Source organism: Homo sapiens, chromosome 20 (assembly GCF_000001405.40).
Source record: "Homo sapiens chromosome 20, GRCh38.p14 Primary Assembly".
NCBI lineage: Eukaryota > Metazoa > Chordata > Mammalia > Primates > Hominidae > Homo > Homo sapiens.
This window is the reverse complement of record NC_000020.11, coordinates 63115075-63142467: the sequence shown is the minus strand read 5'-3', so window position 1 is coordinate 63142467 and position 27393 is coordinate 63115075. Positions and strand designations below refer to the sequence as shown.

The 27393-nt window shown below is 56.2% G+C and overlaps 2 long non-coding RNA genes across 2 annotated transcripts, besides 5 other annotated features; one reads left to right on the top strand and one right to left on the bottom strand.

The window, feature by feature from the left end:
• Positions 446 to 1269: an enhancer, noted in NCBI's record as "H3K4me1 hESC enhancer chr20:61772551-61773374 (GRCh37/hg19 assembly coordinates)". NCBI's record gives its function as "activates a minimal SCP1, AML or CMV promoter by ChIP-STARR-seq in primed H9 embryonic stem cells {active_cell/tissue: H9 hESC(primed)}" and the evidence as "EXISTENCE:reporter gene assay evidence [ECO:0000049][PMID:30033119]".
• Positions 10734 to 11487: an enhancer, noted in NCBI's record as "H3K4me1 hESC enhancer chr20:61762333-61763086 (GRCh37/hg19 assembly coordinates)". NCBI's record gives its function as "activates a minimal SCP1, AML or CMV promoter by ChIP-STARR-seq in naive H9 embryonic stem cells {active_cell/tissue: H9 hESC(naive)}" and the evidence as "EXISTENCE:reporter gene assay evidence [ECO:0000049][PMID:30033119]".
• LOC105376996 (uncharacterized) lies at positions 12192 to 17188 on the top strand. Its single transcript, XR_001754707.1, has 2 exons — positions 12192 to 12277; positions 16715 to 17188. It is a non-coding gene; the product is annotated as an uncharacterized LOC105376996 (long non-coding RNA).
• Positions 20144 to 20645: an enhancer, noted in NCBI's record as "H3K4me1 hESC enhancer chr20:61753175-61753676 (GRCh37/hg19 assembly coordinates)". NCBI's record gives its function as "activates a minimal SCP1, AML or CMV promoter by ChIP-STARR-seq in primed H9 embryonic stem cells {active_cell/tissue: H9 hESC(primed)}" and the evidence as "EXISTENCE:reporter gene assay evidence [ECO:0000049][PMID:30033119]".
• Positions 20515 to 26232, bottom strand: LOC105372719 (uncharacterized). The gene is made up of 3 exons (XR_936993.3): positions 25983 to 26232; positions 23840 to 25626; positions 20515 to 23352 (listed from the first exon to the last, which is right to left on the bottom strand). It is a non-coding gene; the product is annotated as an uncharacterized LOC105372719 (long non-coding RNA).
• Positions 22473 to 22656: a silencer, noted in NCBI's record as "fragment chr20:61751164-61751347 (GRCh37/hg19 assembly coordinates)". NCBI's record gives its function as "represses an EF-1alpha promoter that drives an FKBP-Casp9 reporter gene in an ReSE screen in both phorbol 12-myristate 13-acetate-treated (for megakaryocytic differentiation) and untreated K562 erythroleukemia cells {active_cell/tissue: K562 | K562(+PMA)}" and the evidence as "EXISTENCE:reporter gene assay evidence [ECO:0000049][PMID:32094911]".
• Positions 25764 to 25964: a silencer, noted in NCBI's record as "peak4307 fragment used in MPRA reporter construct". NCBI's record gives its function as "represses an SCP1 promoter by STARR-seq MPRAs in K562 erythroleukemia cells {active_cell/tissue: K562}" and the evidence as "EXISTENCE:reporter gene assay evidence [ECO:0000049][PMID:32103011]".
• Positions 26233 to 27393: the final 1161 nt, after the last annotated feature.

The following is a 27393-nucleotide window of genomic DNA, read 5'->3' as shown; positions in this document are numbered from 1 at the left end:
TTCTCATAAAATAAAACAAACACCTCCCTTAGGATCCAGCGATTCCATTCCTAGGTGTTCATGCAACAGCAATAAAAACATACCCACAAAAAGACTTGTACGTGGATGTTCACAGCAGCTTTATTTGTGGTATCCTCAATCGGGAAGGAAGCTCCGTGTTCTCTGATGGTGAATGGAAACGCCACCATTGTGCCACGTCCGTCCAGTGGAATACTACTCAGCAAGAACAAGGCGAGAACCACGTCTCACCCCAGAACAGGCGTCTCTCAGACATCATGTTGAGTGAGAGAAGCCAGACCCAAAGAAGTGCACGCTACGTAATCACCTTTACTTGAGGTTCTAGAATAGGCAAAGCTACTCCCTGACCATAAAAATCAGAACGTCATTGCCTGGTTTGTTGGGGGTTAGGTGGCGGCTGGGCAAGGGGCATGAGGGAACTTTCCAGGGTGATGAAGTGTTGCGTATTTTGAGTGGGGTGTTGTCACATGGCTGTAAACATTTGTAAAAGGCCATAGGATTGTGCCCTCCAAGTCTGTGTATTCATTGCAAGTAAATTAATCTATGCAGATGGAGTATTTTATTACATGGTTTTGAGAGATTCTTAGGTTAAGTCTAAGAACCGCTGAATCTGGGCCTCCGGGAAAGATGTGAAAATAAACTGCCAAGAACAACAATGGGTCTCACGCTGGGGACCTCGGGCTCCGGTCCGTCCGGTCCATCTGTGTGAGAGTCCAGCATCTGCAGGCTGGGAAGCCAAGTGCATTATGCCCCACCTTGGCAGGTGGTCACCCTCTGGGCGTGACACTCACTAAAGGCACTGAATGTATTTGTGCCTCAGTTTCTCATCAATAAAGGGGAGGTGGCCCTGACCACGCAGGGGGATTCACGCTGATGAGCGGCCTCTGCAAACCAGGCACTGGCCATCGACTGTCATTCTCCAGCCACCAAAGCTTGAGGGAAAGAGGAGGGTGGTGAGTTCAATCCGGGGTGTGAAGCCACCGCACCCTCTGCAACCCCAGCTGGACATGGGCCTCACCAGGAGGCTGCAGTGCCGGGATCCCATGGCAGTGGCAGGGTATGTGCGGGGGGCGCCTGCCCTGGCACCTCTCTCCTCTCAGCCCCCGAGCAGGCCTCATGTTCTCCTTTAACGATGCCCTTGACAAGAAGTCACGCTTGGCTGTCAACACGCGTGGGGTGCCTGAGGGCAGCTGCTTGAAACCTTCCTCTTCCAGGGAGCCTCCTGGGTGTGCAAGCTCCTCGGCACCCCCTGTGTGGTCCTGGGCTCCGTTCCCACCTCCCACCCGGCTCAGGCACCTGTCTGCCCAGGTGGGCGGCTCTCTCATCCTTTCCCCACGTGAGCCCAGCAAGGTGGTGCCACCTGTGTGGCATGGAGTCTTCCTGGGGGGTACTGGGGAACCCAGGAGTGCAGAGCTTTGTGGGACTGGGGGCAAGTCCCAGCCTGGTGCATCCTGGGTGCTTGGAAAACACTGGGATAAATGATGGAATGAAGGAGCTGCTGGCAGGGCCAGAATGGTGGACACCAGGTGGGTGTTTGGAGGAGGCAGTCACATGCCAGGCTGAGAGAGGGGCACCCGCGCACGGGAGCAGCCGGTGGGAACTCAGGGGCGACTCAGAGGGATCAGCCTGCAGGTCACAGCCCGGGCTGTGGTCCCATGGGCTCTGTGCTGCCTGTGTGCTTGCGAAGTTAATTACAGCCACACACAAACTCACTGCAAATTGTTCCCAGTTAGAACTGCAAATTCACTGGAACAAGGAGTGCTAATTACATTCCACTTGTTACCACTGCCTCTTGTTAATATTCCAACAGCTGCTTCAGCAAGATAATGATGGCTCCAGCCGAAATGATTGAACAGATAGATTTAAAAATCAGTACTGGCTGGGCGCGGTGGCTCACCCCTGTAACCCCAGCACTTTGGGAGGCCGAGGTGGGTGGATCACCTGAGGTCAGGAGTTCAAGGCCAGCCTAGCCAACATGATGAAACCCCATCTCTACTAAAATATACAAAAATTAGCTGGGCGTGGTGGCGTTCGCCTGTAGTCCCAGCTACTCGGGAGGCTGAGGCAGGGGAATCACTTGAACCTGGGAGGCAGAGGTGGCAGTGAGCCGAGATCACACCACTGCACTCCAGCCTGGGCAACAGAGTGAGACTCCGTATCAAAAAAAAAAAAAAAATCAGCACCAACATAGTTCCCACAGTGTTTTCCTCCACACACAAGGTGAAGCCCCAGCATAGGGGAGCATCTGTACTCCCTGAGAGAAGGCAGCAGACACGTGCACGCAGCCGTGAGTGCATTTGACACCCTCCACGATGAGTTTGTGAACGCTCAGGTGAGTGTGCAGCTCCCAGCCTCGATTCCGTGCTCACAAACAGAGCTGCCCCGCCCCGGCCATAGCCACGGTCTACTTTGGGCTAATACGTCGCATTGCGGGAGAGGACTTCAGAGGTACGAGCGCTGCTCTGGTCTCCTTTCCTTGCTTCTCCTTCTCTGCCAAGGCGATCGCAGTTGCTTGCTGTCTTGCTGTGCTGTTACGGCAATGAGGCTTTTTTCATAACGTTGTGAGATAAAATGATATGGGAATCACAGTCACCACAACAAGAGGGTGCCCAGACCCCAAGCAGCACAAATGCCTCTGGTGAGTACCCGCAAAAGGGCTCGGCGTCCAACTCTCCTGAGGCAAAGCAACGCCTGCTGCCATTTTAAAAATAAAGTAGTTTTTAAGAGACAGAGTCTCTCTCTGTCGTAGGCTGGAGTACAGGCCCACCGGAGCCCACTGCAGCTGTTGCAATGATTGTAGATGTACAGGAAGTTGCAAAGACAGACACAGTAGTACAGAGACAGCCCATGCATCCTTCACCCAGATCCCTCCACTAGAGGACGGCCTCGCAACCAGGACGTGCCTCCGACAACGTCTCTGCTCTTTGCCATTTATCACACGCGTGACCACTATAGTCAAGATATAGGGCCCCTCTGCGGCTGCAAAGATCTTCCTCCTGCTATCCTTTTTAGTCACAGCCTCCAGCTCTTTCCCCACTCCAACCTCCTCCAAATTCGTCATTTTGAGAATGTCACAGAAATGAAATCACGCAGGGTGTGACCTTTGGAGACCGGCTTCTTTCCCTCGCGTGGCGGTAGACGGTGGTCTTTCCCCAAAGACCCGCCAGAGCTGTTGTGTGCTTCACCGGTTCTTTCTCTGCAGCTGAGTGGAGTCCCAGGGTGTGCAGCACCCCAGCGTGTATAGCCATTCATCTATTGTTGGGCATGTGGTTGTTTCTGGTTCTTCGTGGTTACAAATAAAGTTGCTATGAGTAATCGTGATAGGGTTTTGTGTGAATGAAAGTCTTCCTTTCTCTGGGATGCATGCCCAGGAATGCAGTTGCGGGTTGTAGGTGAGCACGTGCTTGGTTTTGCAAAACACTGCTACACCGTCTCCACCGTGGCTGCCCCGTTTTAGATTCCCGCCAACAGTGTATGAGTGATCTCGTTTCTTCATGACCTCGTTAGCATTTAATGTTGCCGTTATTTTTTATTTCCGCCATGCTGATGGGTGCGTAGTGACATTTCATCGTGAGTCAAATGTGCAGTTCCCCCTGGCAGAGGACATTAGATGTCTTTGCCTGTGTTTATTTCCCTGTGTACAGCCTCTCTGGTGAAATGTCTCTTCTGCCCATTTTCTCACTGGATTGATTGTTTGTTTTTACTGTTGAGTTTTGAGAGTTTAAGGAATATATTCTGTGAGTCTTTTGTCGGGCATGTGGTTTGTAAATGTTTTCTCTCAGGCTGTAGCTTGTTTTCTCGTCCCCTTTTCTTTAATTTTAACTAATGTCTTTAACTATTTTTAGTTATTTCCACTGAAACTGATGAAGCTGTGCAAACTTCAAGTAAATACAGTGACTTCCTCCCTGACGATCCTTACAACAAGGTTTCTTCTATAACCTAATACCCGTGTGCCGAAACTGGCTTCAAGCAGCTGACAGCACGCTGGGCTCAATGCAATCACTGTCTTCTCAGACAGATCTGTTTGAAGATATAGTCCGGGGTGTTGGACGGGAATGTTGCCATTCAGATGTGAAAACACCCCTCCCTTTTCCATGCCCTTGTTTCTGCTTGGTACAAAGGAAGTGGGAGCTCGGGCTGGGTTACCTGCAGGGGCTGGAGGAGCTGTCCATATTGAACCTGCCTCGGCGCTCATGGGAAAACGTGCAGCCGCGAGAGAACTCTGGTCACCCGTCAGCAGCACCGTCAAAGGCCGACAGCCATTTACATTTTCACAGGTGCCAGGGCCACCTCTCCAAGAGCTTATCTGGGTGGAGGAGACCAAGTGTGCTGGTCTCTGTCTCTGCATGGTGAGGGTTGGGTGGACAGTCGCCTCTGAGGGTGTCCCAGCTTCGCTGAGTCCACAGCCAGGCAAAGTCACCTTCGGTGTGAACGTGGTAGTGGGCCAGCATGGCAGTGTCCCTTCTGTGGCCCTGTGTGTCTGCTGGCTTGTGGACTTGCACCCACACTGTAAATCAACTCATAGACACACGCCAAGGGAGATTTCAGAAGAGCAGTGTGTTTTATTATGGAGAGCTGTTTTTTCCCTTCTTTAAACAATTTATTTTTAATAACAAAAGTTTGTGGAAAGAGAAGTTCAGAATCTATGCATTGCTGGTGGGGATATGAAATGGTGCAGCTGCTTTGGAAAGCAGTTTGGAAGTTTCTCAAAATGGTTAAACATGGAATTACCATGTTATCTAACAATTCCAATTCTAGGTATGTACCCAAGAGAAATGAAAACATACCTTCACATAAAACCTTCCCATGAATGTTCATAGCAACATTATTCATGATAGTCAAGAAGTGGAAACAAGGCACTGCCCGTCTACTGATGAACGGGCTGGCAAAATGTGGCTCCTCTGTGCAATGGAATATTATGCCGCCATCAAAAAGAATGAGGCACAGATGTATGCTACCACACGGGTGAGCCGTGAAAACATTTTGTTAAATGAAAGAAGCTAGACACAAAACAACATATATTGTGTGATTCCACTGATGGGAAATGTCTGTAACAGGCAAACCAGGAGAGACAGGAAACAGATTTGCAGTTGCCAGGGGTTGGGGGTGTGGTGGGGGCAGTGGGGAGTGACTGCTAATGGGGACAGGGTTTCTTTTTGAGGTGATGAAAATGTTCTAAAATTGACCGTGGTGATGGTTGCACAACTCTGTGAAGGAACACACTCAGACCATCGAGTTGTGTGCTGTAGATGGGCGACTGGTATACCATGTGAGCGACAGCTCAATAACACTGTTTTACATATTGAACCTGTGTCTGAGCGCACCGGAGACGCCCTGGGGCTCCCCTCCCTCTCTGCCCATGCTCTTTCCTGCCCTGATTTCTGTTCTACTCTGATGACATTTAAGCGATTTCTCAGGCCACCAGTGAGGCCGAATGTTTTGACCAGGAAAATGATTGGAACACTCACTTCTTACAACTTTCCAAAGAACCAGTTGTTGGACTCAAATTCCGTAGCTTTTCTCCCTAATTCATCAGCTTTGACTTTTCCCCATCTTCTCTTTATTTGTTACTTTTCTTGAATGACTTGGGCGACTGTATTCATTCCATTCATCTTAATATTCATCTGGAATATGAAGTTCAAGGCCACGTACCTTTCCCTGAGCTCAGCCTGGCCAAACCCCACCCACTCTCCTAGGCATGGGGTACTTATTTCTTGGTCATGTAACTTAAAATAAATTGGGGAATTTTTATTTCTATTTTTATTAATTTTGATCGAGTGAGATTTGTACTGTTTACCTCTTTTGAGTTTCTTTTGGTTTGTCTAACAGATGGCCAGTTTTTGGGACACCGCCGGGCCTCCTGGGGCTAGTGTCTGGCGAGGCCCCTGAGTCTTCTCAGTGTCATTGCTCATATCCAGCCTGACCCACTCCCCACCTCCCGGGGTTGGGGTGTCCAGGCCTCAAATGTACCCCAAGGGAGACATGAGACAGGGCTTGGACCCCTCTTCGCCGGGGCCGGCTGCCCAGGGTCTGGCTGTTGTTTCCAGGGCTCCTGCCCCCCACCTGGGAACATCAATCTGGACACAACACAGCCAGCCACTAAGGAACCAAACTTGCCCTTGAATCCCAAACCAACAAGTTCAGATCAATTAGGCTAATCCAGCGTCACCGATCTTGAACTCAGAAAACGATTTTTCCAAAGTCAGCAGTCTTTTAATTCACTGCCTATTAATTAAAGTGTGTCTTTTTGATTCATGTTTTTAAAAAGTCTTGATTAGGGTCGGGCGTGGTGTCTCACGCCTATAATCCCAGCACTTTGGGAGGCCGAGGTGAGTGGATCACTAGGTCAGGAGTTTGAGACTAACCTGGCCAACATGGTGAAACCTTGTCTCTACTAAAAATACAAAAATTACCCGGGTGTGGTGGCAGGCTCCGATACTCCCAGCTACTCGGGAGGCTGAGGCACGAGAATCACTTGAACCTGGGAGGCAGAGGTTGCAGTGAGCTGAGATCACGCCACTGCACTCCAGCCTGGGCGACAGAGCCTCCGTCTCAAAAAAATGTCTTGATTAGGCTTTTCATCAGCAAGTAGGCCCTCACTGCTCTTTAGGGGACAGTTACCTTTTGGCATCTGGTCCTACGGGGAAGCCAGGCCACCTTCATCCTCCCCTACCCAGGGCCAGAGGGTGGGCAGCTGGAGCCCTCTCCCCACTGGGCAGGGCCGTGTTGCCCTCTGAGGCGTTGCCAAGTGGTGGGAACAGCGCATTCCAGAGACAGAGCAGCCAGCCCAGGCCTCCTGCTTGGCAGCAAGAGAGGCCCCCAAGACTTGGCGGGGCTACCGCCCCCTCTGGGCCCCGCCTCCCCTCTGGGCCCCGCCTCCCCTATGGCCCCGCCTCCTCTCTGGGCCCTGCCACCCCTCCGGGCCCCGCCTCCCCTCTGGGCCCCGCCTCCCCTGTGGCCCCGCCTTCTCTCTGGGCCCTGCCTCCCCTGTGGCCCTGCCTCCCCTCCGGGACCCGCCTCCCCTCCGGGACCCGCCTCCCCTCTGGGCCCCGCCTCCCCTCTGGGCCCCGCCTCCCCTGTGGCCCCGCCTCCTCTCTGGGCCCTGCCACCCCTCCGGGCCCCGCCTCCCCTGTGGCCCCGCCTCCCCTCTGGGCCCCGCCTCCCCTGTGGCCCCGCCTCCTCTCTGGGCCCTGCCTCCCCTCTGGGCCCCGCCTCCCCTGTGGCCCTGCCTTCTTTCTGGGCCCTGCCTCCTCTCTGGGCCCTGCCACCTCTCCGGGCCCTGCCACCTCTCCGGGCCCTGTCTCCTCTAAGGCCCTGCCTCCCCTGGGGCCCCGCCTCCCCATCCAGGCCCCTCCTCCCCTCAGGCCCTGCCTCCCCTGTGGCCCCGCCTCCTCTCTGGGCCCTGCCACCCCTCCGGGCCCCGCCTCCCCTGTGGCCCCGCCTCCCCTCTGGGCCCCGCCTCCCCTGTGGCCCCGCCTTCTCTCTGGGCCCTGCCACCCCTCCGGGCCCCGCCTCCCCTGTGGCCCTGCCTCCCCTCTGGGCCCCGCCTCCCCTCTAGGCCCTGCCTCCCCTGTGGCCCTGCCTCCCCTCCGGGACCCGCCTCCCCTCCGGGACCCGCCTCCCCTGTGGCCCCGCCTCCTCTCTGGGCCCTGCCTCCCCTGTGGCCCTGCCTCCCCTCCGGGACCCGCCTCCCCTCCGGGACCCGCCTCCCCTCCGGGACCCGCCTCCCCTCTGGGCCCCGCCTCCCCTCTGGGCCCCGCCTCCCCTGTGGCCCCGCCTCCTCTCTGGGCCCTGCCTCCCCTCTGGGCCCCGCCTCCCCTGTGGCCCTGCCTTCTTTCTGGGCCCTGCCACCTCTCCGGGCCGTGTCTCCTCTAAGGCCCCGCCTCCCCTGGGGCCCCGCCTCCCCATCCAGGCCCCTCCTCCCCTCAGGCCCTGCCTCCCCTGTGGCCCCGCCTCCTCTATGGCCCTGCTTCCCTCTGTGGGCCCCACCCCCGCACGAGTGTGGCCTCCTCGCCTGTGGGATTTACAAGGGGCCATTTCTTCCTGCCGCACCCAGGGGTGCACTTGCCTGCCCAGTGGTCATGCATCCTGGCATGCACGTCAAGGCGAAGGCCGACCGTGAGGCACGGAAGGAAGGAGCCGAGGGGACAAACCTGGTGGGCGATGGTCAAGTGCCCGGAGCTGGCACAGGAGCTCCTGGGTTTCCAGGGCCCCTCCTTCAGGCTGTAGTCCGCTGGGGCAGGGGCACGGGCCCAGTCTTTGCTCGGTTTATCAGTACAACCTTTACTAAGGTGGTTTCTTAAAAGTTAAAACAGGGACGTGAACCTGCTGCATGACCCACAGGCAATCTTGGCTGCCAGTTGGTGGTAGATTCTTGGCTATCTTTGCCCGCTGGGCTCTGGGGATGCCGACAGCTTTGTTACCTGGCAGCTTCCTCAGGTCGTCTGGGGCCGAACCCAGCCCCAGGGCCACTCTGCAGGGGGCTCTGCTGAGACTTATCGCCAGGTGGGCATCATTCTGGAGACAAGCACCCTGCCAACCTCTGAGCAGGAACCTTGGAGACCCTGGAGTCTGTCCGCATCCTGGGTCCTGGTACCTGAGCATCCCCCTCGATGGCCAAGGCTGTGTCCTCCTCTTGGCAGTGGCCCCAGTGGATTGGGATGAGAGGAGCCCTTGCTATGGAGCTGCCGTGACCCGAGGAGCTGGCCATGGGGGCTCAGCTGCAATGACATCTAGGCTGGCTCCTTTATTGGTGGCCGATGTCCCCTGAGGGTCCGATCTGTGTGGGTGAAGGGCCAGGATCTGGGGGAATTTCCGCAAGGCTCCGTACTTGGCTGTGAGTGCCTGCACAGCTGTGGGCGGTACAGCCTGGGTGCTGGGCAGCATGGTGAGCTGTGAGCTCCTGTACTAAGGGACAGGTGCCTGGAGAGAGGCGGGAGGCAGGGAAGGGGGTCCCCAGGAGTGAAGGCGGCCCCCAGTGTCTGCAGAGCCAGCGCTGGACGTGAACATGACAGGGAGCTGTCTGGAGGGCAGCGGTCCTGGGCACAAAGGCCTGGCTGTCCCTGAAAGGGGCCGGAAGGTCTGAAACCGCCCTGGAGATGGCCTGTGCTCAGTGAGCTCGCTCCGGTGGCTGACGGGAAAGGGCCTTGTCTACTGCACTAGTCTTGGGGGAGGCCACCCTCTCACTGGATCAGGCCCGGCAGCCCCCAGGAGTCACTGGCAGCTGCACATGGAGAACGTCCTTGAGTGGACCCTGGACCCCCGGCCAGTTCCACCAGCTCAGGTGCTCTGAGCGGCTCTGCACTGCACACCTGCATCCTGCCTTGGACGTGAGCGTCTCTAGGGAAGTGTGAGCTCTGAGTCCAGCTTCTCTGGGGACGTGCTACAGTGTATCTGGGGCTTGAGCGTCCGGTCCCCGCCAGCAGCAGTTGTCGTCACTGGCGCTGTGTGCAGCCAGTCCTGGCCCCTTCGAGGCTGTGGGTGCTTCTGAGGCCCGTGGTCATCGCGTCCCCATCGCTGGGCTCCATGCAGATGCTTAACCCAGGGTGGGCTGGCATCTGATGTGGAAGCCATAGTTAAGGCCCTTCCTCCTCCTGGGGTGACGATAAGCCAGGCTATGAAGATAGGTGGCACCTGGGGGCCTGTGGGCTTCACTGCGGCTGGCACCCCGTCCACCTTTTCCTCAGCAGAAAATGAGGGGCAGCAGTGCCGTTCCCTGCCTTGCCTGCTGTGTGACCTCAGGCAGCCACTCAACCCTCTCTGAGCCTCGGTGTCCTAATCTGTGAAGCAGGTGAAGACTCCTTTCTGCTGTACATCCTGGAGTTGGGGTCCTCATGGGGCTGATGAACCAGGAAGGTATATGTCAGACTGAGGTGTGGCCTACGCAGCTGGCATCACTCTGGCACTGGCAGCCCCGGGTCATGTGCCTGGTTATGGGTGTGTGTGTTTGTGGATGTATTTCCCATGTGTACAATGATGCTCAGGTGCACAGTGGGGATTGTGCATGTGTGTATGTGTGTGCACACAGTTACGTGTGGATGTGTGCTTGTGTTCCTGTGCACATGCCCGGCTGTTTGCGTGTGTGCACGTGTGTGCACGAGCTCCAGTGAGTGCCTCTGCCCTCAGGGCTGCCTATCTTTAGGACTCGGGCCGGCGCCCGGCGTAACAGACATAGTGAGTGCCTACCCGGTGGGAAGCTTCATGGTGCCCTGAGTCTGCCCAGGGGAAGTAATGTCACAGGGCTCACGGGCCGGTGAGCCCTCCAGGCCTGGGGAGGAAGAACAGATGAGGCTTTAATGTACAGGCTGGAGAAACCGTGGCCCCAAGCTGGGAGGGAATAGCATTTGTCACCCATGGTCACATGGCAGGGCCATAAAAGTCAGTTTTCAACAAAGGGCAGCATGGAACACTTGATACCTGTATGGTTAGGCTTTGTGTCCCCACCCAAATCTCATCTTGAATTGTAATCCCCAGGTGTTAAGGGAGAGACCTGGTGGGAAATGATTGGATTACGGGGGCAGTTTCTCCCATGCTGTTCTCACGATAATGAGTGAATTCTCATGAGATCTGATGGTTTTATAAATGGTAGTTGTCCCTGCACTCTCACACACTCTTCTCTCTCGCCTGCCACCGTGTAAGACCTGTCTCTTTCCCTTCCATCGTGATTGTAAGTTTCCTGAGGCCTCCTCAGCCATGTGGAACTGTGAGTCAATTAAGTCTCTTTTCTTTATAAATTACCCAGTCTCGGGTATGTCTTTATAGCAGTGTGAAAACAGGCTACTACAATATCCTTTTTAATAAAGACAATAAATTGGGCTCAACCCCCAGGCGTGTCTTTAAATGCTGGCTGCTACTCGCTGCTGGCAGGAACTAGCCGTGACTTCCACGGTGGGGCTTCCGTGCACCCCGTGTCACACGGGGCAGCGTCTCCAGCAGCAAGTGCTGCACCCACCCTGTGCTCTGGTGAGGCCGCTCCTCCGTCCACCACCAAGTACCAGGTTATGTGGGAGACAGCCCTGCACATGGCCGGGTGGGCTGGATTTGCTTTTTGGTTTTAATCAGAGAATCCATTTCCACAGCATCGAACTTACTTCTTCATCGCTGACGGGAAACACCTTCTTCGGCAGAAAGCCCTGCTCGGCCGAGGGAGGGAAGGACTCACTGCGCCTCCTCCCTGAGCTGCACCCACCCTGGGGCCACACCGAGGCAGAAGGACTCTACGCCACCTGAACAGAGCATGCATCTGGGCCGCGCCGGAGCACAGGGTGCTTTCAGGCGGCCCCTGCCCCTTGCTGTGTGGGTGGCCCGGCCCAGGGGCAGCTTGGGGACCCGACAGGCCTCCTCTCAGGTGGGCATTGTGATCCAATCCACACTTGCCAGCCCAACGATGGAGGCGGGTGAAGCCATGGAGTTCAGCCACGGGGTGTATTTCCCACGTAGTGGAACAACGTCTGTGTTATTTTTCCAAAACAGGGGTGCCAATGGTAAAGGTGTTGGGAGACCCCTGGGCTGGGGCATGAACCTCCCACCCTTGCGAGCCGTGTGGTTCATTCACATCTGATTTTTACGATTTGCACGTGGCCCTTTTTTGGTCTTTTGGGGGTCAAGACGGTAACAGCAGCAGCCGGAACCTCCCCCTGCAGCCCTGGGTCTCGTGCTTGCGGACGGTCGACCCCGGCCTATGTGTCCCCAAGAGGATCTGCGAGTTCTTGGGTGACGATTCCCTTCTCTCGGGGAGGGGGTGTGAGGGAGGAGCCCTCACTTTGCATTTCAATGGTTTTTTATTAATCCACCTGCACATACACAAAAAATCCCTTTCTGTGCTGCGCAGGGCATAATTTAGGCAGGCTTCGGAAATAACAGGGCAGCCAGCGCTATTGTTACTCTCCGGATACAGATGTTTATTCTGCTCCCGCACTTCCACGTCTGTCTAGGCAGTGACGACGTAAATAGGACGTGTCTCCTCGCCATCTTCGAAAGCCTTTGTTTTCTGGGACAGCAGCCTATTATGATGTCACACAGTGGGACAGTAATAACCACCCCCCCACCCGAGAGCCTTAACACAAGACAATGAAAGGAACCGTATTGTGTGGTGGCGGGCGGGTGGGTGATGAGGGGGCGGGGGGAGGAGAGGAGGGGAGGAGGGCGAGTGGGGGAGGGGAGGGAGCGGCCCCTGCTGACCACACGGGCAGAGTACACGGGAAGCGCGGTGTTGGGTGTGGACAGTGATCTGAGCCTGTCCACGGCTTTGGTTGGAAAGGTGAGTGGGTGAGTGAGGAGGAGTCCCACGCACCCTTCTCTGGGGATTGAGACCCAGAGCCCTAGAGTGAGCCCTCCGGGGTGGGGGTGGCAGCCCCTGGCGGTGAGGCTCCTGCACTCCAGCCCCAAGGAATCTGCCCCAAGTCGGGAGCAAATGGTCAGGTGTGGCCCCGATGGCAGCAGGACCTTGAGGGGATAGAACCCATCACGGTGACACCACAGCAGCACCTGGAGGGGGAAAGTCTCATTCTCTTCATGGGTGCAGAAAAGAGCTCCATAAATTAGACTTCCACTTAGGACATTTAGAAAGCCTCACAGTGCACCTGGAAGACGAAGGAGGCTTCACATGATGGGAGGCAACGAGGGTGCACCCCACACCCCAGGAGCAGGGCAGGGTTAGGGAGGGCGAGAAAGTGGGGGCCCGGGGGTGGGGATGGGGAATAACGCTGTCCCGGGGGATGGTGGCTGTGCTCAGGGGTCCCCAGTGACCTGCACTGTGGGCATTGGCGAGAGAGTTGACGCTTCTAGGTTAAAGACAGTGTAAGAAAATCAGGGCATTAACCACAAAAAGGGAGAAAATAAATGTAGGAAACGTCATTTCTAATAACATCAAACTATGAACCACACCAGAGTAAACAGCAAAGAAATGTGACACATTTATGGCAAACCCACAAATCTGGAGACACTGAAGAAGACCTGAGACATCCCTTCCATGGATTGGAAAGATTGCTGTTAGGAAGGTGACCATTTTCCCTGGGTCTGTCTGTAGATGCACATCAGTGCCAGCAAAGTCCAGTGGGGGAGAGTGAGAGAGAGAGATTGATTTTAGAAGCCAATTCTAAAATGTACAGAGAAGTACAGAAAGGCTGGGAGCAGCCCAGACCCTCCTGAGGAGCAGGTGGACGGTGCAACAGCGGATGGCAAGTGGGACGTGTTATGGGGCCGCAGTTGCCCAGAGCACGAGGAGCTGCTGGCGGGGGGCTTGGCCGCTGACCCACGAGGTAGGACACCGCCTGGGCACCGAGGGGGGCCTGTGCTCGTGCCCACGCACGCGGATGTGTGATGAAGGGAGTGGCGTTGCAGGTTATTGGGGGAAGGTTGGACTCTTGTTCTGGTGCCAGGAAAGTCAGGTGCCCACGTGGGAAAAAAGGAAAGTAGACTCCCACGGCATTCAGATCCCCCCAGGTGGATGCCCAGAGGGCAGCACTTTTGACCCAGAGCCCCATCCTGATGACCTCACAGACAAGGCCCCCAAGAGCCTTTGCTGCAGCGGAAGCGGGTAACATCAGCACACATGACTTTGTTTCTCAGAAGACACGGGAGAGGGTGAAGGTGCGGTCATTCATAAAACTCACAGGAACTCAAAACCAGAATATGAAGGACTCTGAATCAGCAAGAAAAAGAGGACTCCTTAGAAAAACGGGTGGCACAGCTGAACAGGCGCCTCCCCACACACGGGGCAACACTCGTGAACACTGCCGTGGGATGCCGCTGCGCGCCCGTCAGGACAGCCCGGTTAGAACGACCGACAGCATTGCGTGTCCGAGGACGCGGGGGCCGACGGGCCCATGTGCTTCTGGGGGAGGGCACTACAGAAAGGCCCTGCACACACTCTGGCGAAGGGTGCCCCTGCCTGCAGAGTCCTGGAAAATAGGCCAGGTGTCTGCAGCGGGCAGATCAATACGTGGCGGCGTGGCCACGCCGGGAACGCGACACAGCCACAAACGTGCGTGGACAAGAGTCACACGTGCAGTGAGGACGGAGTTTAGAACTGAGATGGCAGGAAAGCAGCAAATCAGAAGAACACACTGAGAATAGTCCTTTTACAGAGAGTTCACGAACAGGCAAAGCTGCAGACTATGGTATCTAGGAGGCATATAAAGAGGTAAAAGAAAGCAGAGATCCAGAAACCCCCCTTTTGGGTCAATCTCCAGAGAATTGGAAGCAGGAACATGAAAAAATACTGGCACACCTGTGTTCACAGGGGCTAGAGGGTGGAGGCCACCTGCGTGTCCGTCGACAGATGGACGGAGAAGCGAATGTGTCCGTCCATCCAGCGGAAAATGATTCAGCCTTAAAGAGGAAGGGGAGCCTGTCGCCCTTGACAGCACGGATGAAGCTCGAGGACGTTATGCTAAATGAAATGAGCGTCACAAAAGGACAAGTACCAATGGAATGCATATTCCACTGGAACTGGAATTCCAATGATAAGAAACACGAGAGTCATCAAATTCACAGAGAAGATAGACAGGCGTCTCCCGGGCTTGAGGGGAGGGGATGGGGAGTCGGTGTTGAATGGGGACAGAGCTGTAGTTTGGGAAGGTGGAAAAGTTCTGGAAATGGATGGTGGCGACGGCTGCACAGCCATGGGAATGTCCTTGATGCTCCTGAACTGGGTGCTTATGAGTGGCAAGAATGGTCAGCTATGAATGGTCATATACGTTATGTTACGTATATTTTATCACAATTAAAAAACTGAGGAAAAAAATAAAGTCAGGAACAATGATAGGAAAGACATGGATGGCGTTCCTCTCTGGAGGGAGGGACGCAGAGGGCCCCTAGAGGGCTGACAACATTTGGCCTCTGATTCATAGTCACTTAGACACACGCACTTTTGCACTTTCTCCTGTGATATGATATTCCATGATAAAAATGGTAAAAAATTAAAACAAGCCAACAGGCACCCACCTCTGCCCACCGCTGGCTGTGCTTGTGTGAACGTTATTTGCCACGAATTCTTTTTGGCAGAATGAGCAAACGTGGAGTCCAAGCTGCCTCCGGATGGGGCCCAGTCCCTGGCACACGGTGCCTCTGTGTGGGAGCCAGGAGGCTCCAAGGAGGGGGGCTTTCAGAGGGAGGTGATTGTGGAGCTCTCTGGGCAGAATGAAGCATCATCACTTTGCAGCAAGATCTTGGAAGTGGAAAATTTGCTAATTTCTCAAATGTTTCACTTGACAAAATATTTTTCAGGGGAAACGGTAGCGTATGGGGCCGAGGCTTTGCTGTTTGCCTTGGGGAATGTGATTTTTATGGTTATGTTCAGAGATGAGTGCCACTGGCAGGCAGGTGAGGAGACTGATCCGCGGGCCCACTGGCAGGCAGGTGAGGACACTGACCCGTGGACCCTCCAGCTCCATTCTCAGGGGCAGGTCTCTGTCACCACTGCACAGATGCCCAGCTCCATCGGGAGGGCACCTGGCATGAGCATTCTGCCTGACAGAGTTTCTTCATTTATGCTTTGTCGCCTACACCTTTGAAAAACGAATAGGCTTGATTTTTTGGTGTGGCTTTAGGTTTACACATAAATTAAGCAGAAAGCACAGAGAGTTTCCTGTTCCCCACTCCCCTGCACACGGCTTCCCCCGTGATTGGCCTCTTGTGTTGGTGTGGGACGTTGTCACAGGGGAGACATCTCTATTCACCAAAGTCCAGAGTGCACCTGAGCGCACGCTTGGCCTTGTGCATTCTGTGGCTTTGGACAATGTGTAAGGTCAGGTATCCACCATTGCTGTATCATACAGAACAGTTTCACTGCCCTAAAAATTATCTGCTCCCCCAACCTCGGCCACTCCTGGTCTCTCCACTGTCTCCAGGGATTCACCTTTTCTAGAATGTCCTATAGCTGGACTCATACATTCCCCTCAGCCTTTCCACACTGGCTTCTGTCGCTTAGTGACATGCATGTGTTTCTCCACGCCTTCCTGTGGCTCGAAAGTCGTTCCTTTTTAGTGCTGAGTCATATTCCATTGTTCCTGGGCCTTTTCCCCCCGGAGGGTTGGCAGGAATGCGCCAGCCCTACCTGCTGCTGCCAGGCCCCCGTTCACAGCACCGTGCACCACCAAGCTCACTGCCAATTCCAGGCTCTGTGGTTCCCAGGTCAAGTGCAAGTTCTCTCCCAGTGGGGCCCATTTCAACGGAGTATGTGGAGCAGAAACATTTTCCTGCGTCTCTGCTGGCTGAGGGTGCTTGGGTGGGTGGCTACCTGCATCTGCCTCACCTGTCTGTGGGACAAGAGTCCCGTGGGGCGGAAGAGTCCTGGGTTGCTGAGGCTGCGGGAGCCCTCAGGACGGTTTCTGACCTGCTTTATTTTTGTGGATGCCCCCCAGCTTCAACCAAAGGTCGCCCACAAACCCAGGGACTTGTCCTCCTGAGAGCCTGGGGCAGCAGGCGAGGGGATTCAGGCTTGCGGGGGTCTCAGAGATCAGTGTGCAGCCTGCCTGCTGTGAGCCCTCCTGCCAGTCTGCAGATACGGCAAACCCAGCGGCTCCTCCCCACAGAAGCTGTGATGGCTTCTTTCTCTGCCAAGTTTCTAATCACTGTGCACCCATCTCTTCCTCATTAGAGAGACTCAGCCCATGTTCATTAAACGCAAAACTAACCTCCCACCAGCAAAGAGGCCTGGGTGAAGAGGATAATGATCGCATTTGCTTCCTTTCAGAGAATTGCATCTCTCATCCTGGGGCAACGCATCTATAAACACAGAGACAGTCATCTGAGGCTCTTTTTACGAGGCTGATGGAGTGGAGGGAACCCTTCTTCTTGGCCACCTCTGGCTGTCCCTGGACCGAGACAAGGCCTCAGGGGAGCTCTGAGGGCCAGGCTGAGAGAGACAGTCCCAGGAGCAGAGCCCACCAGACCCATCACCTCGGCCCCAGCCCGGCCCCCACAACCATGTGGTCTTAGATAATTTGGCTTCCCTGAGCCCCACTTCCTGCCTGCAAGGAGGAGATGATCACAGAACCAGCTCCCAGGGTGTGAGGAGGACCAGATGCAGACGGAGCCTGCCCACTCCCTGTCCAGCAGAGCAGAAGGGCAGAGGGGGTGCTGCCTCCCTCCTGCTGGGAGCCCCATGCCAAGGCCCACCTGCCCGCTCTTTACTGCACGAAACATAGCCAAGTCTGTTGGTGCTGGTGCCATTTCTAGGTTCAGTTTGTTTAAAGAGCCGTGGAGAATCAGACACCCACAGTCCTGAAGGAGGCGAGACAGCTCCGGGGTGGGACGTGCCTCCTGCTGTCTCCCCAAACACTTCGCTCTCAGAGGCCCGGCGAGATGGCTCCAGGGTGGGACGTGCCTCCCGCTATCTCCCCAAATACTTCACTCTCGGTGACCTCCCTGGCCTCTCTCCATTCTCCACACTGCAGCCTGTGGCCTGCGTTCATCCTGACAGCCCTCAGTGGCCGCCGCTGGCCTCTCCCCTGGCCTTTCTCACTTTTGCTCGTCTCTCTCCTTGGGTTTTGTTCTGATTTACTGAGTTGTGTAATTTCCATGGCTCCACAGCTGTGTTGGGCATCCCCGGCCTGTCTGAGGCCTCCTCTCCCTTCAGGGGACGGTCCTCCTGGCAGGGCCCCTCAGGAACATGTGGGTAACAAAGCCTCCAGAGGCGAGCTTCCTTGGGCTCTGGAGTCCGGCCCCCCTGTGTGGCTCACCTCCATTCCCTCCTCTGCCTCCTGCCCCCCAGTGCCCGGTGGCGCCCATCAAGCATGTAGAGAGGGCCTTGGGGCAGGACGGCTGTGCAGTGGCCTGAGCCGGGAGGGGGACCAAGGCCCCAGCCCCATCCATGTCTGCCCTGCTGCCATGTTCCTGCAGCGGTGGCTCCCGGGAAGGGAGTTAATAACTGGCTGTGACTAGTAGATGTTCTGGGTGACTCAGGGAGGACTCATCCAGCCTTCTTTTTTGGCAGAGAAGGGGTTTACGTTTATTACGTTGACGTAGGCCTGCTGGCCCTTGATTTGGTGCGAGAGGGTTGAGGGGCTGCTAATCTGGCCTGTGATTCATCCCCAGGCTCCCACGCCCAAACCAGAATATTCATGACGTGACCTTGGGCTGAGGACAGCCACCTGCCACAAGTAAGTGTGGAATGACAAGCTAAACATACCTGGGAGGGAGGAGGAGCTGGGAGGTCCTGTCTCATCCACTCGACTTGGGGCAGAGACGCTGGAGAATAGGACGCCGGCCCCACCCCGAGGTTTGCATGAAGGATGCCCTGTGCAGGTGTGAGATGTGGTTATATGAAAAAAGAATTTCATGGGTCGGGCACGGTGGCTCACACCTGGGATTCCAAAGTGCTGGGTGGATCACCTGAGGTCAGGAGCTTGAGACCAGCCTGGCCAATATGGTGAAACCCCATCTCTACTAAAACAAAAATTAGCCGGGCGTGGTGACGCACGCTTATAGTCCCAGCTACTTGGGAGGCTGAAGCAGGAAAATCACTTGAACTCAGGAGGCAGTGGTTGCAGTGAGCCAAGATGGAATCACTGCACTCCCGCCTGGGCGACAGAGTGAGGCTCCTTCTCAAAAAAACAAAAAACAAAACAAAACACACACATACAAAAAAAAGAATTTCTTGTTTTTCTGGAATTCAAATTTAACTGGGCACCTGTTTTTTCATTTGCTAAACCTGGAGACCCTAACAGCAAGGAGCCCTGGGGCTGATGAGACGTTGGAAAAGGTCAGCTAAGCCCGTGCCGCCATCTACCCGGGGTTAATTCCAAGCCCGGCGAGGTTGGGGTCTGGCCTCGGGCCACAGTGGTCCACGCTTCAGTTTTCTCTGCCTCGGTGTGACCATTGGGAAACCAGGACCTTGAGAGCCCTTGCGGGGCTGCCGTGATGGCCCCAGGACTCTGCGGCTGAGCGTCAGTTCACGTGTGTGGTCCAGGTCGCCCTCCCATCACCACGTGTGGGCTTTTCTGCCCTGTGGGCACCTTGGGACCCATGAGACTCTCCAGCATCTGGCTCTGGCTCTGGCCAGTCTCTGCAGCCGGCGTCATCTCGGCCCTCCCTTCCCACAATACGCTTGTTGCCGTGACCCTTGAGGTCTCTGGGCTGGTCCATGGGTCACGGGTGTCTAGAAAGGCTCCAGACAACAGGAGCTTGGGGACAACATCCACTGTGTCCACTGCAGGCTGAGGGACAAGGGCCACCATGGTGCAGAAACCACGGCTGTGCTCAGGGACCACCTTATGCAGATAGGTTTGGCTGTCACCCAGGCTGGAGTGCAGTGGCATGACCTTGGTTCACTGCAGCTTCCTGGGCTCAAGGGGTCCTCCTGTCTCAAAAAAAAATAGTTAATTAAAATATAGTCCCAAACAAATGGCACTGGGAAAACTGCACATCTACATAAAAAAGAATGAAGCTGGACCCTTACCTCACACCATATGCAAAAATTAACTTGAAATGGATCAAAAATTAACTTGAAACCATGGAGCCACAGCAGCACCAGCCCCTACTGCACTGAGCAGGCTCAGGGTAGATCCAGGCCAAGTTCAGTCCTGGCTGCTCTGTGGGCACCATTGTGTTTCCAAGTAAATCCAACCCTCGTCCCATCTCCTTCCACAACTGGACGTTGAGCTATCCTCTGTAAGATCATATCCACCCTTTAGAAAATAACAAGTGGAAAGCACAGCGAAGATACAGGTGTGGCCCCATACAGATGCCCTCTCCTACGTGACCACCATTCACACGTTTATTCATATATGTATTATTTGCATATAAGCGCAAATGCCCCCTGAAAACACACACAGGGCCACATGGTGTGGTAGGCAGAGTAATGATCCCACAAAGTGGCCGTGTCTGAACCCTGGAACCCATGAATGTGACCACAGGGACCCTCCAGGCAGGCTTAAGTCAGACGCCCTGAGGTGGAAAGATGACCCTGGGTTACCAGGGTCTGAGGGTGCAGTGTCATCACAGGGTCCTTACAGTGGAAAGAGGGAGGCGGGAGATTCAGAGGAGAATGTGGATTCAGAGGATGTGAGGATGGTGCCATGAGCCAGGGGCTGTGGCAGCTTCCAGAAGCCGGAAAAGCTACGGCATCAGCCCTGCTTGCACAGACATCAGCCCAGGGAGATGGCGTTGGACTTCTGACCGCTGGGCCGTCCGATGACATGGAGGTTTCCACCCCTCTGTTTGTGGTGAGTTGTTGCAGAGCAACAGGACCTTGATGCACAAATGTTTGTGCCATGGCTGACTTTGGCCTTGCCTCCGGATGCGTTCTCAGGAGCTGCGGCTCTGATGGGCGGTGGGGTGTGGCCGGGGGGCCCGTTACGCATCCAGCCCTGGGTAGTGCCTGTTCTCCCTGAGGGTCGCCAGTGCTGTGGCGCTGCCTGGCCGTGAGCTCGCTGCCCCTCCCTGACTGGCCTCTGGGTTCCTCCCTGGGGGCCAGGGTCAGAAGCTTTGGCCCTGCCTGCAGCGTCGGCCTCTGCTGATGATCACACGCATCGAGCTTCATAGTTTCATACATTTTTTGCTAGTTTGAAAGTCAAACTTTATTTAAATCTGCATTTCTTTAATAGTGACACTGGATAGTTTCAAGTCATTTATTGGCTTTTGGGATTTCTTCTGTGAGTGGTCTGCCCAAGCCCATTCTTCAGTTTGCAGTTTAGTTGTTTTCCCACTGATCTGTGATGTTTCGTCACCTTTCTGTATCACGTGTGTCCCAAACAAGTTGCCGGCAACGCTTTTGTCTCTTCCGTGTCGTACACGAGTTTGTTTGAGCTGCATCTGTTGCACGCTTGGTGCAGTTTGGTGCCTTTTTTTTTTTTCTGCTTTTATGCAGAATGACAATGGGCTGGGGTGGAAGACAGGCCCTGAGATGCTGCAGGCTGTGATTTTGCAGTAGCAGGTCTTGTGGACTCGCCTGACTCTTAAGTGACCCTGAGGGGAGCAACTGGAAACCCTCCAGCCTGGGTGACCTGGGGGTCCCTTTCGTTTCAGGGCGGGTGACCGTGGGGGCGCCGTGCTGGGCTGTGCAGTCGTCATGGTTCCTGCCTCCCAATGCACACACATATGTGCTTGCACGGGAGCATACATACATGCACCTGGGCACCGCAGCCACAGGTGCACACTCAAATGTGCTCAAGCACACACAAGCATGCGTGTGCACACTCCACACTCATATACACACGTGAAGGCAGACACGAGCGTGTGTATGAGTGCCACGCCCCGGGCTCTGTGCGTGTGGGCTCCAGTGCAGCTGGCTCTCTGGGGGAGCACTTGGCAGAATGCTGCCAGCTCCACACATCCCCTCTCCTTGCACTTAATTCCCAATTCCAGGAGTTTCCTGCTCCCTGCTTTCCTGAGCACCTGGCAGCTGAGCACCCTCAGCCTCACCCTGGCCTGGCTCTTCCCCAGGGCTGGATACCCAAGGCCCAGCTTCCCTGCCCCGCCTCACCCTGTGTGCATGTGGGGGGGCCAGGCAGGCCAGAGGGACAAGAGCCCATGTCTGGGGCCCCACCCTCTGGTGGGCAAGGGGAGATGGAAGGCGGGGGGCTGGGCTGGAGGCTGAGCCAGGCAGGTGGCAGAGCCTGGGCCCGGGAGGCGAGGACTTTGGGGAGGAGGATGGAGAATGGCCCAGGAATGGAGTCGCCTTGACAGGAGGGTGGGAGCAGCCCCTGCCCCTGCCCCTTGACGGGGGCCTCAGGGCAGGGCCAGGCTTTCGTTGGGTGAGAAATTGAAGGGCTCATTCTGGGGGAGGGGAGGGGCCAGGACCTGGAGGGTACAGGAGAAAGGTGCAGGGTGAGGGAGGTCAGGAAGGGGGGTGCAGGGACTCGTGTTGGGGTGACTGTGCAGGGGATGAGGGGGACACAGGCACTTCCTGGGCTTCCTGGGCATCGAGCGATCAGACCGAGGGTCCTGAGGTGCTGAGCCTGGCACACACAAGCCTCTGGGCCCGTGGAGGCGCATGGGACACACAGTGGTCATTCGGACCGTGTTGGCAGCAGGGGCAGGCTGAGCGGTGGCCAGGAGCACAGGCTGGGGGCGGCCTGCGTCCAGGTCCAACTCCATCCGGCTCTACTCTGCAGCCAGGGGAAGGCCACTGAACTGCTCTGAGTGGATCCTTGGCTGAGCATGGACAGGAGCCATCCAACCTCATGAGCCATTGCTAAGATGAACGTGACAGTGCTGGAGGGTGGGCCCAGCAATGCACAGGCACCTGATGTCGGTCAGCGGCTGGCGGCTGTGTCGGAAGGCCATGGATGGGGGCAGCTGGGAGCCTGGGAGGACCTGCTGGACAGCATGCCCGGGGCCCCTGCACATCCAGCAGCTTGCTCTGGGGAAGGTTCCCCAGCTGAGAGCATCTACAGTGGCAGCCCCTCCCCCAGCACCAAAAGAGGTCAGTCTGTGTGGAGGCCTCCCTGGCAATCCCCTCACTGGCGCACACCAGGCTGGCACCAGGCCTCCCTGGTGATCCCCTCACTGGTGTGTACCGGGCTGGCACCAGGGGTCAGCTGGGATGACAGCACCTTTTGCCCAAGGCTGGCTTGGGTGCTGTGGAGGGGGCCAGTCCCAGCAATAGTCCTGCTCAGCAGAGGGGACAGGCAAGATGGCAAGGTGTGCTTGCCTGGTCCCTGAGTTGGCCCAGGTCCTGGCCTCTGCTCAGGCTCTCTTCTTCGTCCTTGGTGCTGTCTTCCATCCTCATGGTGGCCGGGGAGGCGCAGGAGGGAGCTGGGAGCTGTGGTGTCCCCTGGCGTGGCTGTCTGTCCTCCAGCAGCTGGCCCAGCACTGGCCCTTGTCGGGCTGTGGAGGAGGAGGCTTTGTGGGCTGGAGGCAGGGAGGGCTGCGTTCTGTGTCATGGAGGCGTCTATCACTCTGCTGTCTGTGGGTGGTCAGGCTCCGAGCTCAAGCTCTTCATCAGCCCCAGGACTCTCGGTGTCTTTTCTCTCCATCCCTGCGTAGCGGGAGAGGCACCCAATGCCAGATCCCAGCAAAGACCCCCTGGGATACTCGGGCCTCTGTGGCCTCCTTCCTAGGCCTTGGCGTCGTGCCTGCTCTTCTGAAACTGCCTGGCTGGGGCCCCCTGCACTTGCCAGCCCAGCAAAGCCCCTGTGTTGGCACAGTTGTGGGTCCCACCAGCCCGGAGGCAATGATGGGGACCCGTGGGTCCCTGCTCCATGCCCAGCAAGTTGTTGCTTCGCGGCAGGGGGGCCCTTGTTAGCTACTGCACATCGCACATCAAGGACTTCCTGGCCGCACGGTCGTCACTAATGAGGTTGGCTGAAGGGTGGCCTGTCTCATTAGCTCTGGCAGGCTAAGTCTGCCAGGGAGGAGCTGACACGAAGATTGCTTTTTTTAATTACTCTGTTAATTGATATAAAACAGAAAGGACGCAGATTAGTTGCGTGCAATTAGCAAATTAATTCTCAGCAATTACAGACTTAATAATGGAGCGGCTTTGCGGTCGCATGTTGGGCTCTGTGGCTTATTGATTGTGTTTTTCAGAGGGAGAGATTTATGGAGAAGGCAGGAGGGGGCGGGGAGGGTGCCTTGAGTCCCCCGTCCTCCAGAGAGAAAACATATGGGCTTCGGGAAATGGAAATAAGACCCTGTGCAGTGCTGCCTCACCCCCACCAGAATGGCCCAAACCGGAAAGACTGGCTGGGCAGTGCTGGGGGGCTGCAGGCAGCGGACGCTCACACTGTCTGGGGCTGTGCATGGTGCGGCCACTTCAGAACCGCTTGACACTTTCTAGTACAGTCAAATATACACCCACCATATGACCCAGAAATTCCAGCCCCAGATGTTGCATGGGAGAAATGAAAGCATTTGCTGGCTCCAAGGCCGGTACCTGGAGGCTCACAGCAGCGTCACTCACAATCGCGTCCAACGGGAAGCAGCCTGAGCATCCATGAGTGCAGGAGCGTCCACCGTGCAGTAGACACTGCCCAGCAATGCAACGAGCGGCGTGCAGCGGACACTGCCCAGCAATGCAGCGAGCGACATGCAGCGGACACTCCCCAGCAATGCAGCGAGCGGCGTGCAGTAGACACTGCCCAGCAATGCAGCAAGCGGCGTGCAGTAGACACTGCCCAGCAATGCAGAGAGCGACATGCCGCGGACACTGCCCAGCAATGCAGCGAGCGACGTGCAGTGGACACTGCCCAGCAATGCAGCAGGACACAGCGGGCATGTGCTTTCCTGTGTGAGCATGTGTGAGTATGTGTGGATGAGAGAGCTGCACGTGAGGGGCACCTGCTACGTGCTCCTACTCACCCAGGGTGGGGGTCAGAGACGTGGGCACCTTTGGGGGCGCTGTGGAGTGGAGGGGAGTGTGGGCCTCCTGGGGGCTGGAAGTGGTCTCTGTCTGGATCTGGGGGTCACATGTGGCTCCCGCTACTGCTCCCTCGACATGGCTCTGAAGAGCAAAGCCCCAGGGCTGCAGCAGCCCTTCAGGGGCCCGCAGCCACTTGGAGACATACATTTCACAGCCTGTGTGCATGTGTGCCTGCGTCTATGTTCGTCTCAGTGCTTTGGGAGGCTGAGGCAGGAGGATCACTGGAGCCCAGGAGGTTGAGGCTGCTGTGAGCCATGACAGCGGTCCACACCGCGTTAACCCCCTTGCTCCTGTCTGCGTGGTGGCTGGTCGTCCAGACAGACTGTGGATTCGGTCCACACCGCGTTCACCCCCTCGCTCCTGTCTGCGTGGTGGCTGGTCATCCAGACAGACTGTGGATTCGGTCCACACTGCGTTAACCCCCTCGCTCCTGTCTGCGTGGTGGCTGGTCGTCCAGACAGACTGTGGATTTGGTCCACACTGTGTTCACCCCCTCGCTCCTGTCTTCGTGGTGAGGTTGTCCAGGCAGGCTGTGGATTCAGTCCACACTGCGTTCACCTCCTCACTCCTGTCTTCGTGGTGAGGTTGTCCAGGTAGGCTGTGGATTCAGTCCATACTTCGTTCACCCCCTCACTCCTGTCTGCCTGGTGGCTGGTTGTCCGGGCAGGTCGGGTGCTGGGGGATGTCACGTGCCCCTAAGAGGCAGCCCTTTGACTGGAATGACACTGATCAGCCTCAGGGCCATCTCCCCATGAGAACCACCAGCCATCTCTAGCCCTTTGTAAAGTCTATGTCTACATGCAGACACGTTGTCATCTGTCGGCCAAAGGCAAGCCTGCTTACGGAGCTAGTTTACTCCAGCCTGTGCGATGGGAACACGAGGAAGCAACCCACCACTTCCCTCCAATAAAACCTGTACTGGCAAAGTGCCCAGCTCTGCAGAGATCCAGAAAGTTCTCAGGTTTGTTTACTTTTCTCTTTCCACTTTAGATTGAATTCTGCTGGCATCCATGCAAGCTGGAATACAGGAAGGAAAGGGGAAAGCCGTGGTCTCTTCACTCCGTTGGTGACGAGGTATTAGCTTCTGCGATGTGCCAGCACCAGAGGCTCTGCCTCCTACGGTCTTGTTTGAAGACACAGCAGATGACTTCTTGGCACAAACAGAGGTCTCTGACTGGGGAGGTATCAAAGATGCCAGAAGGCGAACCAGCGACAGACAGCAGGTGACATACAAGGACCCTCAAAGAGGTCTCGGCTCAGATGGGATGCCCTCCTTCCAGGCTGAACTAAACCTCTTCCTCCTGTGGGAAACAGCCCCAGAGACGTGAGGAAGCTCCACCCCAGATCACACGGCAAGGCAGCAGGTGTTGAGGCCGGAGCCTGCACCCGTGCCGCGTTTTGGGGGGTGCTTTGGGGGATAAAGCACTCTGGCCCCTATCATGGCAATACTCCGTAATCCTGGAGTCCCCAAGAAAACAGATGAAACCCAGCTTCTGGCTGGCCGGATGGGCCGCGGCGCTGTCCGAGGTTCTGAACGGCATCTCCGCACCCCGCCCTCCGCCTGCCAGAGCCTCGGCAGTCACCGGTCACCGGGACTTAATTCGCAAGTGCCCAGCTCTGCGGCTCCCCCCGCGCAGCTCCCTGCAGCTGTGCTCACCTGGGCCATGGATTCCACTGCAACGAACTCCAGGGAACTTTGAAAATTATTTTTTTCCACTGGAATGTGTGTGTGCTATAGTTTCATTGTTCTTAATGACATGAGAGATGTATGGGTAACCGGCTGAAAGTTGGGGTGCTGCTGTACTCTGTGCCTAGCTCTGGTCTCCATGGGGGATATAAGTAAAAACAGCACAAGGCCTGGGTCCACCCCATGGAGCACAGTCTAGGGGGAGAGACCTCCCGTGCGGTTGCCGGACTGGGCGTGTGGTCACATCTGACTTAAGAGCCACAAAGAGGAAATGTGTTGCTTTATAATGGCATAAAACCGGGGCACTGGCCTAGTGTGGGTGCCAGGGAGTGTGGGTGCCAGGGAGTGTGGGTGCCAGGGAGTGTGGGTGCCAGGGAGTGAAGGTCTCCATGAGCAGGGGGCATTTGAGCCGAAGATGGAAGATTGGTTGGAGGTACTTGGTGAGGCTTTTCCATGAGATGGTCCTTTGTCCAGCACTGATTCAAGTAATCAGAGACAGCAGGAGCGGGGGAGGCAGCCCTCACCTGAGAAGAGGATCTCTGTGGTCCTCCCACCTCTTCCATAGTTTCCAGTCTGGCCAGCCCCTGGCTGCTGCCTCTGGACTCTGCTTCTAAGCAGCACCTCTGGCAGCTCTGTGAAGGCTGGACCTGGGGTGGAGAGGGCCTTTGCCTTGTCCCGGCGAGGATGTCTCATGCATCCAGCCTCAAGTGAGCCCTTCCCGTGCCAGAGGGGTACCTCCCTACCAACTGCCCCAACCTACTGACTGCCTCAACTCTGCTCATCCAAAGTACACCTAGGTGGGCTGCAGCACGGTGCCGTCCGCAGCTCACGGCACCCACTCATCACATCTCCTCCCCATCAGGCTGCCCTCTCCATCTGTCACCATGTTTGAAGTTCCATCACCTCCTTGGGAGGTGGTGGGGCAGGAGCCTTCACCAACATGCGACACATGAGAAAACCGAGTCTTAAGGAGGCCTCAGAGCTGGTTTGAGCAGGGAGACCAAACCAGGTTTCCCTACCCCGTAAGCCCCCAACCACACACTCCCTCCTGGTCAGTAACCACAGACACAGACTGTGTGCACATGTGTGTGTCCGTATGTGTGGTGTGTGTGTGTATGTGTGTGCCTATGTGTGGGATGTATGGTGAGTGTGCGTCTGTGTGTATCTGTGTGTGTGGTGTGTGGTACGTGTGTGTCTGTGTGTGCACATGCAGGTTTGCATGCATGCAAATTTGCATGTCTACGTTTCTATGGTGTGTGTGTGTGTGTGTGTGTGTGTGTGTTTGTGGTGCATGAGCATCCGTGTATGGAAGGGGCGGGGGCTCTTTCCATCTGGTGCTGTCAGTGATGCTGAATGAGACGTTGCTACCTGGCATTGTCAC